The sequence below is a fragment of the Homo sapiens genome, chromosome 22, assembly GCF_000001405.40.
Source record: "Homo sapiens chromosome 22, GRCh38.p14 Primary Assembly".
Lineage (NCBI taxonomy): Eukaryota > Metazoa > Chordata > Mammalia > Primates > Hominidae > Homo > Homo sapiens.
This window is the reverse complement of record NC_000022.11, coordinates 32,064,146-32,082,838: the sequence shown is the minus strand read 5'-3', so window position 1 is coordinate 32,082,838 and position 18,693 is coordinate 32,064,146. Positions and strand designations below refer to the sequence as shown.

General features: G+C 44.5%; 1 protein-coding gene across 3 annotated transcripts in view; it reads right to left on the bottom strand.

Annotated features, from left to right (window-relative positions):
* SLC5A1 (solute carrier family 5 member 1) overlaps positions 1 to 18,693 on the bottom strand; it is a 69,769-nt gene that overhangs the window by 30,191 nt on the left and 20,885 nt on the right. For all 3 annotated transcript variants that reach the window (NM_000343.4, XM_011530331.2, NM_001256314.2), the window contains 4 exons: positions 15,800 to 15,904; positions 14,813 to 14,872; positions 14,239 to 14,343; positions 868 to 973 (listed from right to left, as the gene is read on the bottom strand). In NM_000343.4, coding sequence (NP_000334.1) covers positions 868 to 973; positions 14,239 to 14,343; positions 14,813 to 14,872; positions 15,800 to 15,904 — 376 coding nt within the window. The remainder of the gene's footprint in view (positions 1 to 867; positions 974 to 14,238; positions 14,344 to 14,812; positions 14,873 to 15,799; positions 15,905 to 18,693) is intronic.

Sequence of the window (18,693 nt, the reverse complement as noted above, 5' to 3'; positions counted from 1 at the left end):
AAAGAGTCTGGTGTGACCCTTTTGAGCCAGAAGATGGCTCAAAGGAGATGACTCCTCTGTGGTAAGAAGAAGCGTCTTCCACACACAAGGCAGGGAGGAGCAAAGAGCTGGCTGTGGAGATGGTGGGACATATGTCTACCTTTTTCTTAGTCCCCAAAGCTGTGGGGCTGCAGTCAAGCAGCAAGTTCTAAAGCTGATCCCTCCCACCCCCACCAAGGAGGCAGAGTGACCCCTCTGCAAAGGAGCCCCAATTGCTATTTATGCACCAGCTTCTTGGGTGGCCACTTGAGTCCTCTTCTGAAACCTCTGTGTGTGAGTCACTGCCTTTCTCCCTCCTTACAGGGGCTCCCAGTCCCTGACACATCAAATCCAAGGCCTCTGCCTGGCTTTCCAAACCCCAGTATACTGTGTTCAAAACACACAGTATGCTGTGACCTCATCTGAACTATCAAGCTATATGGTCCCCACAAACCCCCACGATCCTTCAGTGGCCACCCTCCTCCAGCCAAGAGCATCTGCGTGCCCACCCTGCCTCCACTCCCCTGTGCTCACTTATTTCTGCACCTGCCACTGCTCTGATTCTCCCACCTTAGCTAAGTCATCTCCACAACCCACAGGGCCCAGCTCTGCATGCACTCCTGTGAGAAGCTGCCCTGACTATCCCAGCCAACACCACAGCTTTCTGAAACCACTTGTATAACTTGGAGGGTCTATGAGTTGGTACTAAGCAAATACCTCACTCCCAAACTCTTACCTGAGTGTATCTCTCCTCAAGAAGAGAAACCACCTCTCCTACTTCCCTTTATCCTTCACTAGTGCCTGATCCCGAGCTGGGTTTGAGGTGCTGGTTTATTTGAATGGACTCACCTGTAATTGTGTAAAGGGCAGTGATTGCCAATAAGAGAAAGATGGCTAAATACAGATTCAGGCCTAAGGCCAGATTGATGAATATGGCCCCCGAGAAGATGTCTGCCTGGAAGGAGAGGAGAGGCGGAGTTAGGAGGGAGAGTGGTCAGCTGCCTACAGGGCCTGTAGTCTCTCTACTCCTGATTTTCCAAGCAAGCTTTATTCAAGATGATAATACGTATTCCATGAGAAAAAGAATTCCATGGTCAAAAAGGTCTATAAAATGCTAAACAGAATTAAGGCAGTTTCTTTGCCACACAACTTTTCTGAGCCTTTAATATATGCCATGTACAGTCATCCCCAGGGAGGGAACACGGTACATGACATCTCACAAACTCACTCAACTATTGAACTCTTTTTGCCAAGGAACAGCTATTAACACTTAGAGGTTCCTTGCAAGTCACCTGTAGACTGTTGCTCTGAGCTATTGTCCATCTTTTGCACCTCAGTGTACACAGGTTTATCAGAGCTCGTCCCCAAAAGCAAGTCTGAGTGCTGGAGAGTCCATAAGTGAGAAACCCCACCCCCACCCAGGAGCGGGGAGAAACTTAGCAAGTTTGTAATTTTAACTCCCCAACCCGGATGCAGTCCATCTTGACTCAGACACAACCAGAACATCACCAAGCACCTCTTACATAGCAGGCTTGGTACTTGCTGGTTTTATTTAGATTATTTCATGTAATTTCTGGGAGAATTGCTCCCTCCTCACTCCTGAATTCTTGATGCAGTTCTTCCATCTTCACCCTTTCTCCTCCTTCCTGTCTCTTTCAGCCTTCTCCTAATGAACCTTCTACCTGGCTGGATGGTGCAGTTGCTCATATAAACCAGCAGAGAGCACCAGGGTCACCCCAAATGCATGTTCATGTCATCTCCAAAACAATACCAGGGAGGGTAGTATTAAGGGATGATCATGGTGAGTCTTTTTTATTTATTTATTTTTTGACAGAGTCTCACTCTGTCGCCCGGGCTAGAGTGCAGTGGTGCGATCTCAACTCACTGCAACCTCTGCCTCCTGGGTTCAAGCGATTCTCCTGCCTCAGCCTCCTGAGTAGCTGGGATTACATGTGTGCACCACCACACCCAGCTAATTTTTGTATTTTTAGTAGAGACAGGATTTCACCATGTTGGTCAGGCTGGTCTCGAACTCCTGACCTCGTGATCTGCCTGCCTTGGACTCCCAAAGTGCTGGGATTACAGGCGTGAGCCACTGCGCCCAGCTGAGTCTTTTGTTTTCAAATCTCCAGGTGTGGACGAAACTGGACTTCCCTAGATGGAATGAATGCACGAACTGTTTTCACTGCACAAACCCTAACATTTCACGGCACGCAAACAGCACCCAGACGGAGCCTTGGGGATGGGCCAGCAGGGTTGGACTCTTACTTCTCACATCTCCTCTTATATCTTGCATCTCCTCTCTAGTTCCGTTTCCCAGTCCCCATCCCATTGCTGCTCCTGAGGGCCCTCCAGTGTTTAAGTTTCCCACCATACCTGCCTGTCCCTCCTATGAGAATCTCCTATTCCCTCCCTCCATCAGTTAGCAAAGAGCACATCTAATACCAACTCCATGCTTCTGAGCTAACACGTGAGCCCTGGAGGGTGATTCGACCTCCTTCCCGAAGGTGGGCCTTTTGAGGACCTGATGCCATAGTTCCCCTCTGCCCAGATCTCCCCTGAAGATTCTCTCACCCAGGGGACCCAATGTCACCATCTTCCCTGGTGAAGGAGGGGAGGCAGAGCCAGGAGGTGGGAGGAGAGATGGTGAGTTAGAAAGAAACTCCTCTCTCCCTGGAGTTAGCAGTCAGAAGAACCAGCATTTTAGCCCCAGTGCCGCCACTCTAGGCCTGCAAACCTTTGGGCAAAACATTTCCCCTCTCTAATTCTCAGTGTCCTCGTGTTTATGCAGGAAGTCCTGGCTCCAGGGACTTGTGATTCTCAGTGGTTGGAAGTGGGAAAGGTCTGCAGTGAGGAAAGCATTCTTCTCCCGGGTTCTGGACCGCTTCCATTCTGCCTTGCCCTCTGCAGTAGCCCAAGAGGAGGAAGGCGCCTCTGCTGTGCATAAGTCTTGCCAAAAGTGAAATGGCCACTTCTTCCTGACTCTGCACACTGGGCCATTTGAAATTGTAATGAATATTTATAATGCTGGTCCCTCTCCTCTCATGCCTCTACACAGTCACATAAAGTTACTTAAATTCAAGGGGCCCCATTCACTGATTGCAGTGAAATTCTGTTAAATGCACACACGTTTGATTTGGTGGATTAGCTAATAAGTGTAAATAAGATAGGAAAAGATTACAAAGCTGACACTGCCTTTAAACTGCCCTTGGTTGATTTTCCAGAGTAGTTAATTTTTAATGCTTTATGACAACATGCCATCGTAGACTGTGATACCCTCATTAATATGTGCCTTGCTGTCATTAGTCACAAAGAGGCAACACATAAGTTATAAGATAATGCTATAAATGACCTCTATAAAGACTTCTGAAAAGTGTTGGGCTAATAAAAGTCTTGTTTTTATGATATTCTATTTCCTTCTAACAGTACAGATAAAGGATTCTAAGGAAACCTCCCTGGTGAATTGAAGAAACCTAGGACAAATTCTTCCTCGCATGAGTCATTCTAACTTCAGAGATGAATTCTGCCTTGGCATGCCAAAGGCCAGGCTGGGAATACCTTAGCTAAGCTTATGTAGCTGACTCCAGCTGAGCAAGGCCACTCTAGTCTGGGTGCTCTGACATTAGTCTTTGGTCCTTCCTAGCTGCCAAACAAACCCACTAGGGTTGTTTTTTTTTGTTTGTTTGTTTGTTTGTTTTCTTTTCTTCATGTTCAGAGAGTTTTACAGTTTACCAAGGACATTTAGGCACATGCGTTATTTTGATCCTCAAAACAACATTGAAAAGTAAGGGACCTCCTTTCTGCTTTCTGGAATATTTTCTACAGAGAGCAAGGTCTTTTTTTTTTTTTTTTTTTTTTTTTTTTTTGGAGACAGAGTCTTGCTCTTTCGCCAGGCTGGAGTGCAGTGGCACAATCTCGGCTCACTGCAACCTCCATCTCCCAGGTTCAAGTGATTCCCCTGCCTCAGCCTCCTGAGTAGCTAGGACTACAGTTGCGTGCCACCATGCCTGGCTAATTTTTTTTGTATTTTAGTAGAGACAGGGTTTCACCCTGTTGGCCAGAATGGTCTCAATCTCCTGATCTTGTGATCCACCCACCTCAGCCTCCCAAACTACTGGGATTACAGGCCTGAGCCACCATGCTCAGCCAGCAAGGTCTTTTTTAGCAACAAAGAAAAAGTTTTTAATTTACTTTTAAAATAAAATCTCAAATAAAATAATGTATGTGTGGGGGGTTAAAATAAACACCACAGGCCAGGCACAGTGGCTTATGCCTGTAATCCCAGCACTTTGGGAGGCTGAGGCAAGCAGATCACTTGAGGTCAGGAGTTTGAGACACCAGCCTGGCCAACATGGTAAAACCCTGTCTCTACTAAAAATACAAAAATTAGCCAGGTGTGGTGGCGCATGCCTGTAATCTCAGCTAACTGGGAGGCCGAGGCAGGAGAATTGCTTGAACCTGGGAGGCAGAGGTTGCAGTGAGCCGAGATTGTGCCACTGTACTCCAGCCTGGGTGATAGAGTTTTGCTCAAAAAAAAAGAAAAACAAATAAAAATTGAATAAATAAATAACCGCAGAAGTTACACACTGAAAAGTAAAAGTAGCCCAGAAGTGACCACTGTCAAGAGATTTTTGTCCACCAGAGGATTTTTAAATGGCTTTCTAAAAATTATATGTCAACAGTTATGTTCTGCAGCCCCTAAAAATAATAATTATGAAAACTGAAACTGGAACATTTACAATTTGATGGTAGGGGTGGGGAGAAGACAACAAAATGATGCGCATATTCTAATTGCAACTTTGTGAAAGAATACACACAATTTGAGCAAGGCCAAAATATGAAAATATTGGTATTGGAGTTAAAGTGTGCATCTCCCACCCCAAGATTTTTAAATGCCAATGTTACATTTTTCCTACAGTTTCAAAAGTGCAGGAAGCAGAAATTTTAAAACAGAATATATTCTTTATGGCTATACGGGTACCCATATATATATGTAGTAAAAATATAAAAACATAGTCTAGAAGAATCCACACCAAGTTCAAGACAGCATTCACCTTTTAGGAAAGAGGAAAATGAGACCAAGAAAAGGGTATAAATAGGTCTTCGGCTATATCTGTAATGTTTTATTTCTTTTCTACAAATAATATATTGTTAAGATCTATAAAATCTGAGTGGTGAATATAAGGGTGTTTGCTATATTCTTTCTGCATTCCTGTATATTTGAAGTATTTCATTAAATTTTTTATCATAAAAATAGGGGACTGTATAGGGAATGCAGCACCAGCTTTGATATAAAAGAACTGTCCTGTCATCCTATGAGACCATTTGTTTCACAGCTTATCCCAGATTGCTCTTTCCCTAAATTAATGTTAGCCCTTAAAAGAGAGTAGGGGGAAGGATGGAGGGAGGGAAAGGAAAGGGAAGGGAGAGAAGGAAAGAGAGAACGAAAGGAAGGAAGAAGGGGAAAGGAAGAAAGTGAAAAAAGGGGGAGAGAGGAAGGGGGAGGGAAGGAAGGAAAGAAAGGGAAGGTAACAGAGGGAGAGAGAAAGAAAGGAGAGAAGGAGGGAGTGAAGGAAGGGAGGGAGGGAAGGAAGGAAGGAAAGAAGGAAGGAAAGAGGGAAAGGGGAGGCAGAAGGGAAAGAAGAAAATTTCTCCAATGCTGCTAAGCAAAACCAACTTGAAGTGAAATAAAAAATTATGGTCCTCTAGATCAAGAATTTGCAAACTTTCTCTGTAAAGGGCCCGGGAGTAAATGTTTTATGCTTTGCATTTACTGTCTCTGTCACACTCTGTTGTTAAAGCATAAAAGCAGCCACAGACAACACAAACAATGGGCTTGGCTGGGCTCCAGTAAAACTTTACTTACAAAAATAGATCGTGTGTTGGATTTAGCCCAGGGGTGTTGTTCCCATCACGTTGAAAATTTGGCTGAACGATGTCCATGGAATTCATGGGGAATAAAAATACAGACCCCCGTTGGAAAGCATCTGCAAGTAACTGAGTCTCTGATTGGGAGCTTGGGCATGTTGCTTCGCCTTGGCTCTGATGTTTTGAGATCCAGTGATTTTATATGTGTGTGTTTGCTGTCCATTCTGGTCGTAACCAAGATGTATTTGAGCATTCGATAAATCCTGCCTAGCCTCGCAGTTTCAGATGGTGAAGCCCCATTACTCAAATTTCTCTTTCCACTTGTGAAAGTGAGTGGCCCTGGGAATGAGCATTCAAATCTTAAGCAAAAGCAAAAGCTCTTCTTTTCACCCAAGGATCCAAAATGGACAGCAGAATTGCTGTAAACATTTACTGTAGCTGTGATCTGTGATAACAGCCCTAGGAAACACAAATGGGGACATGAACATTCAGTCATCACATGTAAGTCATAAAATCTGAGGCTTTATCTCCAGGGATTGTGCACATTTGCATAAGATGCACATGCCGGGAAATTTTACAGAATGGAATGCTTCTCAGAGCTTGATAAGGCAGGTGCTCGAGGGAGCCAATAAAATTCAGGAGCTCATGGAAGGACAATCAGTTCTGAGTCTCAGAGCCCAAAAATACGTGACCAAAAGATGGTAGCCATAGCCAACGCTCCACATCACAGCTGCCAATGGCCTGGGCCACATCTGGGCTCTGCACCTACAATGCCCTGTACTTTCTCCTCTCTCCCATTAATTACAACCCCACTGGATCCCTACATTCTCCCCAAGCCTTCGTGGCAGGTCCCTGGTTGTTCGCTCTCTGGACAGGAATCTCACACTAACCCTCCTCTCTTCTCACCCATCACAAACCATCCGTGCCCTTCCACACACACACACAATTGGTGAATCTTGGTTTGTGTGGAATATAAATGCCTTATCACCGTATTTTGTTAATGAACAGTTATTTTCTTTTGTCCATGAGCCCTGCATTCCTGTGTGTCTTGAAGTGAGCTTCTAGCAGGTACAGTTGATATCGGTGTAATTCTTTTTAAAATTTCAATGCTCTGTGACCCATGTTGAACCTAAAACCAGCCGAATTTACGAAGACAAAGCCTTGCCTGTCTGCATCCCTCCCTACCCTACCCCCTGCCCAGATGTCCCTCCTTCAGATCCTTCATATACCCAGTGTGCAGCTGATGTTCTCTCCCCATAGTCCTCTCAAATCCTACTCTTGGCAACTCATTTATATTGTGAGGTTCATTTAACTGGCTCTCTTCATTTTTCCCAGGGTCTTGAATTCTAACCTACTCTGTACTGGAAGAATGAAAGACTTAGAAGGTAGGGGGCATATAATGTCAAAAGGTTTAGATTCAGTGTCAGGAAATCTGCTTCTCATCCCAGTTCTGCTCCTGTTTAACCCCTCATAGTCCCTTCCCCTGTCTGGACCTCAGTTTCTCCATCTGTAAAATGAAAGCGCAGAACATAAGACCACATGATCTATCCCATCCCCTCATTCTATGCCTTCATCCCACCCAAGCACAGGGCAGAACACTGAGAACAGACTTTGGCACTGGAGAGACCCTGCTCCCAGTTCTGGCTTTGCCACGTACTAGCTGTGTAATTTGGGGAAATTACCTAACTTCTCTGAGACTCAGTTTTCTCTCCCATAAAATGGAAAATAAAATAAAAATCCCAGCCAGATGTGGTGGCTCACACCTGTAATCCCAGCACTTTGGGAGGTCAAGGCAAGAGGATCACTTGAGGCGAGGAGTTCAAGACCAGCCTGGGTAACATAGTGAGACCCTATCTCTAAAAAAAAAAAAAAAAAAAAAAAAGTAAAAAATAGCTGGGCATGGTGGCACATGGATGTAGTCTCAGCTACTCAGGAGGCTGAGGCAGGATGATCACTTGAGCCCACGAGTTTAAGGTTGCATTGACCCATGATCATGCCACTACACTCCAGCCTGGGCAACAGAGCAATACCCTATCTCAGTAAACAAACAAATAAATAATAGAAATCCCTACCCATGCTGTACTCTTCTGAGAACTGGAGAGGGTGTAAGTAAAACCCCTGTTGGAGACTAAATGACGAGACCAGCACTAAGTAGAGGGCAGCTATCAAACTTCTTATGTATTTGTCAAGGGATCCCTGGTCTTGGGCAATGGATGGAGTAAGTATAATGTTGGTCATGGCCTCCACTAATATCATGATTCAGCCTCCTTCACTTTCTCCTCCTTTCCTTCAGGGTTAGTTTTTAATTATAAGATAAAAGCCTGGGCTTTTCAGTCTTATTTGGTTAGAGACCAGTGTATAGAGTCTGGACTGGGAAATGCTGGGAAGGCTGGAGAAATCAGGCTTCAGCTTCCTGAGGGAGGGCAGTGCATCTGTCCAAGAAGAGAAAGGGAACGTGAGCAGGAGGGTGACGAGGGTAAGGAGCCTCAAAAATCACACAGAGAGGGAGCAGCACACAACACATACAATTCAAAAGCCAAATTTAGAAAAAGCGGGCTCCTCGGGGATGGGCTCCATCCAGATCTGAGCTGAAAGAGGCTGTCCCTCAGCTCCCTGGGGGCTCCCAAGTCCAAGAAGGTTTAATCAGTAACTTGAAAAATAGGTGAGGTGATAGAGAAGGCAGGGAGAGAGGTTGGGCACCTAATTTATTTATATGACCACCCCTGCCACCCCTGCACCAGCTCTGAGGACAAAGAGTGCTCTTACCATGGCAACTGCAGTCCACAGACTTTCACCTGCTTGAACTGTGGACTTGGAGGACACTTGCCTGGGAGAAGGGGAGGCCCAGCACCCTTCTCTACGTGCACAGTAGACAGGTACCACCCTCCTGCTCATTGCAGTGTGACCTCCTCACCCTCCTGCTCACATTCCCTTTTCTCTTCTTAGACAGACACACTGCCCTTTCTCAGGAAGCCAAAGCCCGATTTCTCTAGCCCTCCCAGCATTTTCCAGTCCAGGCTTTGCACACTGGTCTCTAATCAAATAAAATGGGAAAGCCCAGGCCTTTCATCTTATAACTAAAAACCAACCCGGGGGCCGGGCGCAGTGGCTCACACCTGTAATCCCAGCACTTTGGGAGGCCGAAGCGGGCGGATCATCTGAGGTCAGGAGTTCGAGACCAGCTTGGCCAACATGGTAAAACCCCGTCTCTACTAAAAATATACAAAAATTAGCCAGGCATGGTGGCGTGTGGCTGTAATCCCAGCTACTCAGGAGGCTGAGGCAGGAGAATCACTTGAACCCGGGAGGTGGAGGTTGCAGTGAGCCAAGATCGCGCCACAGTACTCCAGCCTGGGCAACGAGAGTGAAACTACATCTAAAAAAACAAAACAAACAAACAAAAAAAACACCAACCCTGAAGCAGAGGAGGAGAAAGTAAAGGAGGCTGAATCATGACATTAGTGGAGAAAGCACAAAGGCATGGGTCGAGGGCAGAAGCAGTGTGAGTCAGGAAGCTACACAAGGAGGCAGCACTATTCCTAGGTGTTGGCCCCAACTCCAAGACAAAACCTTAACAGCATTATCGGCAAGAGCCTGTTTTCACCAAGTTCAGTGAAAACTTACGTGCAAGACCATTCAGTGGGAAAACAATCATTTCTTCAAAAAATGGTACTGGGAGAACTGGATATCCACATGCGAAAGAATGAAGTTGGGCATGGTGGCACATGGCCATACCATATACATAAATTAACTCACAATGGATCAAAGCCCTAAATATAAGCACTAAAACTATGAAACTCTAAGGAGAAAACAAGGGGGTACATTTTCATGACCTTGGATTTGGCAGTGGATTCTTAGAAATGACACCAAAAGCATAAGCAACAAGAGATAAAATAGACAAATTGAACTTCACCAAGATTTAAAACCTTTGTGCATCAGAGGACATTATCAAGAAAGTGAAAAAACAACCTACAGGATGGGAAAAAAATTTTTGCAAGTCATATATCTGATAAGGGTCTAACATCCAGAATATATGAAGAATTTTTACAACTGATCAAGAAATAGACACATAACCCAATAAAAAAATGTTTATTCATGTAGGCCAGGACAGGAAGGTAATAATGTAAAAGGGAAAAATAACTGTAGTAGGCTGAAGACCTACACATGTATATTTCCTTTAAAGAAAGAACCAAATGTGATGTGATCTAGACTTTGTTCAGATCCTGATTCAAACAAACTAACTGTAAGAAAACATTTTTGAGTTTATTAGGAAAATCTTGATATGGGCCAGGTATTAAACTACCTAAATTAAGAAATTACTGTAAATTTTGTTAGATATGATAATAGCACAATGGTTATATTTTTTAAAAGTCAAAGGTACATTCTGAAGAATTTACAGTGAAATCACATGGGATCTGAGATTTGATTTAAAATACTGCTGAGCGTTATTCACAGTAGTAAAGATATGAAATCAACCTAAATGCCCATCAGTGGTGGACTGAATAAAGAAAATGTGGCACATATACACCGTAATACTATGCAGCCATAAAAAAGAATGAGATTACATCCTTTGCAGCACCATGGATGGAGCTGGAAGCCATTATCCTAATTGAATTAATGCAGGAACAGAAAACCAAATACTGCATGTTTTCTCACTTATAAGTGAGACCTAAACACTGAGTACACATGGACACAAGGAAGGGAACAATAGACACTGGGGCGTACTTGAGGGTGGAGGATGGGAGAAGGGTGAGGAACAAAAAACTATCAGGTATTATGCTTATTACCTGGGTGACAAAATAATCTGTACACCAAACTCCCGTGACATGCAATTTAACCATATAACCTGTACATGTACCCCAATCCTAAAATAAAAGTTGGAAAAAATAAAATAAAATAAAATACTGCTGGGGAAAAAATTGGAAGAGGATAGATGAACCAAAAATGGCAAAATGTTGACAATTGTTAAAGCTAAGTGATCAGTGTTAGGTCCGTGAGTGCTTGTTATCCTATTCTATCTTTGCTTATATATGTTTGAAATTTTCCGTAATAAAAAAAATGCAAATGTTATTTAATGTTGCTGTTGTCTCAACTTTAAGTAATCAGGAAAATAGAAACACTAGCAACTGTATTTTCAGAACCCTACCTAGCTAGAGTAGATGGCTCAATTCAGATCCAATCCAACTCACATCTCACCCAGGGCAGATCTTTTGCAAGATACTGAGATTGGACCAATCTCGCCTTTGGTGCTGGATAGGGGAGAACAACAAGAGAGAGAAAAACTGATCATAGGCAACGAGATCACCATTTTGATAGAGCAATGAGCACTTTGCAACTGCTGGCTAAGGGGAAAAGCTGGAGCTACTCCCTATGTGATCTCAGAAAACACCACCTCTCTCTCTGCCCTACTGCAACCCAGAGAGCTTCTTGCAGAGAGTGCTGAAGGCTCTCAGTTAACCATGTTCGTTATCATTATATCTTCATTCATTTATTTATTTATTTAGTGACAGGATCTCACTATGTCACCCAGGCTGGAGTGCAGTGGTGCAATCATAGCTCACAACCTTGAATTCCTGGGATCAAGTGATCCTCCCGCCTCAGCCTCCTGAGTAACTGTGACAACAGGTGCACACCACCATGCCTGGCTAATATTTTTTATTTTTTGTAGATATAGGGTCTTGCCATGTTGTCCAGGCTGATCTTAAACTCCTGGTCTCACGCAATCCTCATGCCTCAGCCTCCCAAAGTGCTGGGATTACAGGCATGAGCCACCGCACCCAGCCTCGTTATCATTATATCTTACATTTCAAGAACACTTTGTGTTTTCAGATAAATTCACTGGATGCTCACCAACACCCAGTGATCTAGGCAAGGCAGGAATTACTATCCCCATCTTACTCATAAAGAAGCTAAGCTTTTATGACATTTGCCCCAGGTCACCTGCTAGTGGGCAGGGGAACAGACTAGGAGCCAGCTCCTTCAATTATTCTCCAAGGTAGTTTTCTTACTAAAGTCCTATTTTCTTTCTCTTATTCCTTATCATTTACATTTTCTTTTCTTTTCTTTTCTTTTCATACCATTGCTTTAACCTTTATCAGACTGACAGTCACCTTGGGGACAAAAAAAATGCACACTAAAATCTACAAGCAAACTTTTCTCTTCCTACCATCTTTTGGGCTGTCAGAAAGATATCTCAGAAGTTTAGTGGTTTCCTGATTGTTTTGTGTTTTTTTATTGTTGCTTTGTTTTGTTTTACAATCAAGAGGAATTGACCTGAACACTTACAAGGAAGAAAAAGTGAAGTAAAGAAGGAACACAAGGCCGGGTGCAGTGGCTCATGCCTATAATCCCAACACTTTAGGTGGCTGAGGCAGAAGAATTGCTTGAGTCCAGGAGTTTGAGATCAGCCTGGGCAACATAGTGAGGCCCTGTCTCTACAAAAGAATTTTTTAATTAGCTGGGCATGGTGGAACACACCTGTAGCCCCAGCTACACAAGAGGCTGAGGTGGAAGGATCGCTTGAGCCCAGGAGGTAGAGGCTGCACTGAGCTATGATCATGCCATGCACTCCAGTCTGGCAGTCTGGGTAATACAGCAAGACCCTATCTCACAAAAAGGAAGACAAAGAAAGTAGAAGGAAGAAGGAAGAAGAAGAATGAAGAAGAAGGGAGGGAGGGGGGACGGGGAGGGGAGGGGGAGGGGAGGGGAGGGGGAGGGGAGGGGGGAGGGGAGGGGAGGGGAGAAGAGAAGAGAAACACAATGTTTGCTCCAGTAGGTCAGCCAAGAGCTCTGCTCAGCTTTCAAAGGTACCCCAGTCGCCCTCCAATCCTTGAGAAATCTCAGCTCTGCAAGGTGGACCTACAGCTCCAGGTTGGCAAGGACAGCAGGCTAGATGGTAGAGGGGCAGCCCCAGTGGCTGGGTTCAGAAAGAGTAAACATCCCCCAGAGAGTTAGCAATTAAAGGCCCACAGAGCTGATTCCAAGAAAAAGCAGGAGCCTTGTGCAGGGAAAAGGACAGTGAATTGAGAATCGGAGACCTGGATTCTACTCCTGATTCAGGAGAAGTTCGTTCCAACTGCAGGGTTTTCATTTCTCTGTCCATGAAAGAAGACAGAATCTCAGCAGTGCCTTCCAGAGTTGGCACTGGCTGCTTGTGTTTCAGTGCATGAGAAATGTCACATAGAGTCAGATTTTACCCTGGCAGGGCACAAAGGCCCATGCCTGCCTCTAAAGTTGGGGCCAACCCTTAGATATCCCTAACTCCCCCCTTTTTTAAATTGACAAATAAAAATTGTATATATTTATCATGTACTACATGATACTTTAAACTATATATTATGGGATGGCTCAGTTGAGCTAATTAACATATACATTACCTCAAACAAATACTTATCTTTTTTGTGGTGAAAACACTTAAAAATCTTTTTTTTTTTTTAAGAGGCAGGTTCTCACTACCTTTGCCCAGGGTGGCCTCAAACACCTGGGGTTCCCATCTCAGCCTCCTGAGTTGCTGGGACTACAGGCACACACTACTAAGCCCAGCTAAAATCTTTCTCTGATTTTCAAAACACATTGTTATTAGCTATAGTCACCATGTTGTACAATAGATCTCTTGAACTTACTCCTCCTATCTAACTGAAATTTTGTATCCTTTGACCAATATCTCCCCAACTCCCCACCCGCTCACCCCCAGACCCTGGTAACCACCATTCTACTCTCTGCTTCTGAGTTAACTTTTTTAGATTCCACTATGCTGTATTTGTCTTTCTGTGCCTAGCCTATTTCACTTAACACAATGTTCTTCAGGTTCATCCATGTTATGGACATGGACAGCATATTCACAACAAATGACAGCATTTCCTTCTTTTTTAAGGCCGAGTGGTATTCCATTATGTATATATGCCACGTATTCTTCATCCATTCATCCGTTAATGGGACTTATATTGATTCTATATCTTCACTATTGTGAATAGTGCTACAATGAACATGGGAGTGCAGATACCTCTTCGATATATTTATTTCAATTCTTTTACATATATACCCAGTAGTGAGATTGCTGGATCATAGGGAATTCCATCCCTAACTCCCTTTTAATCTTCTATTAAGAACTGCTTTCCCTGAACCTTCACAAACCTGTTTGTGTTTTCAGCCTGCACCACAGTGGAGGACAGATTTCCATTGAATTCCATTGGCTCCTCGATGCAGAAATAGGACTCTACTCCAAGGCGCAAGAAGGCTTAAGGGGCCAAGTTAATAGAAATGTATAGAGCCGCCTCTTGGTGGGCAGCATGTGATGAGGAATGAGAGTGGCAGCTTCTGAGACAGCCCAGCCCTCTGGGGCAGTGGACTCACCGAGATCTTGGTGAAAATGTAGAGCAGCAGGGACAGAAGGGAAAGGTAGACCTGGATCCGCTGGCCTCCAAACCGCTTCCTCAGGTACTCTGGCATTGTCACCACCTGCATGGGGTGCGAGGGAGGTCACTGCCAGCCACAGTGACCAGAGGGCCCAGAGCAGACAGAACAGTGACACCATCCTAATATCAGAGCCACAGAAGTGTGGTCAAGGATTCATAACTTTTGCTGGCCAGAGAAGTCTGCGAGGTGGCCAGATGGCCCCTGACCTCCAGCCATTTGCTCATTTTAATCCCATATGCCCTACCACTGTAGGAGTAGCTAGGTGTTATCCCAGCCCAATAAACCTGTCACTGGGCATCACTAAGGAGCCAGACCCTTGCCCTGGAGGAGGAGGAGGAATATATCCATATAATGCCACTGCAGACAGTCGGGAATTTCATAACCTGGGAGTGAAAGCCAATCCACAGATTTTTCTGCCATTTATCCCATAATGTCTCCTCTGCCCTCTAGGAAGACCAAGCTGACAGATACATTTGCCAGCAGGAAATGAAATAACAGAGCAGATACTTACCCCAGCCTTAATATAGATGGGGACAAACAGCCAGCCCAGCACAACCACCAAAACCAGGGCCTGAAATGAACACAAAAGGTGGACTCAAATTAGGAGGAAACTTAGCCCATCCCTGCCACCTGAAGGGCCCCTCAGCTGCTGCAGAAAAATTACCCAGCATGTTCTCCCCTAAGGAGCCGTTAGAGACTGCAGGAGGCCTTTGCTGCCTAACTGACCCATGGAAATAGCAGCTAGAAAACAGCAGAGAGGAGCCCAGGAGGCTGCTCATCAACATCACAGCAGTGGGCCACAGCTAGAGCACTGGGTTCTCCTTCACCTCTTCCCTGGTTTACACAGAGTAAAATGCCATTTAGAGAGCTTTAATAATAACAATAATAATAATTAATAATTACATTTATTATGACGACTACTATTATTATTAGAGGCCAGGAGTTCAAGACAAGCCTGGGCAATATAGTGAGGCCCTGCTTCTACAAAAAATTAAAAAATTCGCCAAGCATGGTGGCACATGCCTGTAGTCCCAGCTACTTGGGAGAGTGAGGTGGGAACATCGCTTGAGCCCAGGAGTTTGAGGCTGCAGTAGGCTATGATTGCACCACTGCACTCCAGCCTGAGCAGTGGAGCAAGACCTTGTCTCTAAAAATAAAATAATAAAAATTTTTTTAAAAAAAATAATAATAATAATAATGGAAATCTGGTGGTAAGCATTTCCAAACCTCAAACATGGCTAGAAGGGCCTTGGCTTTTTAACATGAAGAGAAAACAGAAAAAATACTATTGCTGTCATACCAGTGGTTTTCTCATGCTACTCTGGTGGAAAGGGAGCAGGGCCCTGAGGCTCCTGAAGTCATGCCCCTCCTCTGTCTGCACCCTGGGGTGACCCTGAAGGGTTCCCTAACATCTTCAGCTCCTCTGAGCATAGATTGAACTGGTTGACTGCTAAGGCTCCTTCCAGCCCCAGTGCACCATGGCTGCAGTGTTACTCACATTCCATTCAAAGCCTCCAATGGCGATGCCTGAAGCTGCCCCAGTCCCGGCCAGCCCCACAAAGTGGCCACTTCCAATGTTACTAGCAAAGAGGGAGGCTCCAATCTGGAAACGCAAAAGAAAGTCAGGTGAGGGCTCTGTGCTCTCCCAGGACACTCAGAGTGGGTCAAAGAGAGAGGAGACATGTCAGCCAAGAGAAGGACAAGAAAGAGCAGAGGTGGGCTGGGAGAAAACTGTGCTGGAATCATCAGGGACAGCTGGTTCAGAAGGCAGATGTGGAAACTTGGAAAACAGTAAAGATGAAAAGGAGAGGATTGGAGAAGGAGCAGTGGGATGTATCCCAAAACCAGATCATCTGTGAGTCTTTTGTGGGCCCCGTGTCCAATCCTGAAGAAGATATGGGAAGTCCCACAGCCACCAGGCCTCCCTAAAAATCTCCTTCAAGGCTGTGTGCCTAGGAGCATGAGCCCTTGATCTCCATATCCCCCAGCATGCCTGGTGGCTTAGGGTCTTGCCCAATACAGGCTCTCAGTAAACACTGACAATTTTCTTGAGAGAAATCATTTCAAAGGAAGCCTCTGGACCTTAGTCATTTGGTCAAATGAGGAGGGGCGTGGAGCTGATGATTTGCAAGTGATTCCTAGCTATTAAATTATGTGACTCCATGAACTCCCAAGTAACAGAGATGATATTAATAATAATAATGATTCTCTAGATCATACAGTATTGATACTTTTTACAAAGGTTCTAGGGACCACACGGACACGTGCACAAAACACTGCATTTTTCAAGGATACGCACATGTCTAAATACAGATTATAGAAGACAGATTGGAAGCACATGTATCAAATACCCAAGAGTGGAAGACTGGAAGGGGAAAGGAGAATAAGACTGTGAATGGTAGACAAAAAAAGAAAGTATCAGGTAAAGCAAGAGAGGGATCTTGCACAACCAATCATAATACTGTGTCAGCAATTCAATTGCATTTGAGGCCAAAAAGAACTCCAGAAAGTTCTAAAGTCCTTCTGTATCCAAGAGGAGAAGGTACAGCAGCATTTGATAAGAACCAAACAAGTGTAATTATCCCCATTCTTGCTAAGCAGATGAAGAGTGGCTTGTAGTTACTTATCTAATGTCCCAAAGATGGTCCAAACCTGGAACAAAACGCTTATTTCCCAAAAGAGATTATGCCAAGAAACTGTTCTAACTATACCAGCCCCTATTCCCAGTATAAGGCAGCTGGTGCTTAGTGCCAAATATTAAGTCAGGGGAGAGGGAGATTTCTGAAGGCTTAGCCAGAAGAAGTTCTCAGAATGACAATGAGGAGACAGTGGTTGGTGCAGGTGCATTAATACATTTGCTCAACAAATATTAACTTAGCATCTACTACACGTGTTAAGCACTAATAACAGCTGTGAATAACACAGACAAAATCCCTACTCTCAAGAAGCTTATATTCAAATACTGTAAACATAAATAAATAAACAACAAAAACAATGATCCGAGAGTGGTAAGTGCTATGAAGAGAATAGAGGGTATGACAGAGTGATTAGATTGAAGAGTCTGAGAAGGTGACTCTATGGACTTTCTCTAATATTAAAGAATTACTATTATAATTCAGACCTTTAAGCTGAGATCTAAATGACAAAAAAGTTAATCATTCAGAGACCACAGGAATAGCATTCCACCTAAGCAAAGACCCCCTGACACAGGTATGCACAGTTGAGAAGCAAAAAGAAGGTTGATATATGATAATGATTTGTGATCTTAACATTTTAAAATAGAGTCATTTAGGCTGGGTGTGGTGGCTCATGCTTCTAATCCCAGTACTTTAGGAGGCTGAAGCAGGAGGATTGCTTCAGACCAGGAGTTGGAGACCAGCCTGAGCAACATAGTGAGACCCGGCCACTACAAAAAAAATGTAAAAACTTAGCTGGGCATGGTGGTGCGTGCCTGTAGTACTACCTACTTAGGAGGCTGAGGAGGGAGGATCAATTGAGCCCAGGACCTGCAGGCTTCAATGAACTATGATCGTGCCACTGCACTCCAGCTGAAGTGACAGAGTGAGACCCTGACTCAAAAAAAAAGTTAGTTTTATTCTAAGTGAGATGGGATGACACTGGAGGATTTTAAGCAGGAGAGGGACAGGACCTAATTTGCTTTTTTAAATTGCTCTAAGTTGTGTATAGATTGCAGTGTTGGGGGCAAGGAAGAAAATAGAACAACCAGCTGGGAGACTATCCCTGGCTTAGGTGAGAGGGGACAGTGGCTTGGACTAGGGTGACAGCAGTTGAGACAAAGGCAAGCGTAGAGATTAGGGAGTATGTTTTAGAAACAAAGTTGGCAGGCTCTGTTGATAGGTTAGATGTGGGAAATGTGGGACAGAATAATCAAAGGTAACTCCTAGATTTGGGACTTGAGTAACTGGGTGGACGCCATTCATTAAGAAGGGGAAACTAGGGGAAGGCAGGTTGTTTAGAGACATCTACCTCCTTCTGCTCAAAGCTTGAGGGGGATAACAGTCCACTTTTTTTTTTTTTTCCTAAGACAGGGTTTTATTCCTGTCACCCAGGCTGGAGTGCAGTGGTCCATCTCAACTCACTGCAACCTCTGCCTCCCAGGCTCAAGTGATCCTCCAGCCTCAGCCTCCCAAGTAGCTGGGACTACAGGCGCGCACCACCACAGCCGACTAGTTTTTGTATTTTTTGTAGAGACGGGGGTTCGCCATGTTACCCAGGCTGGTCTTGAACTCCTGGTCTCAAGCAATCCATCCGCCTTGGCCTCCCAAAATGCTGGGATTACAGATGTGAGCCACCCTACCCAGCCTAACAGTCCACTTTTAATCAAAAGTTTCATTCTGCAAGTGGCCTACCTGCCCTGACCCACTATCTTTT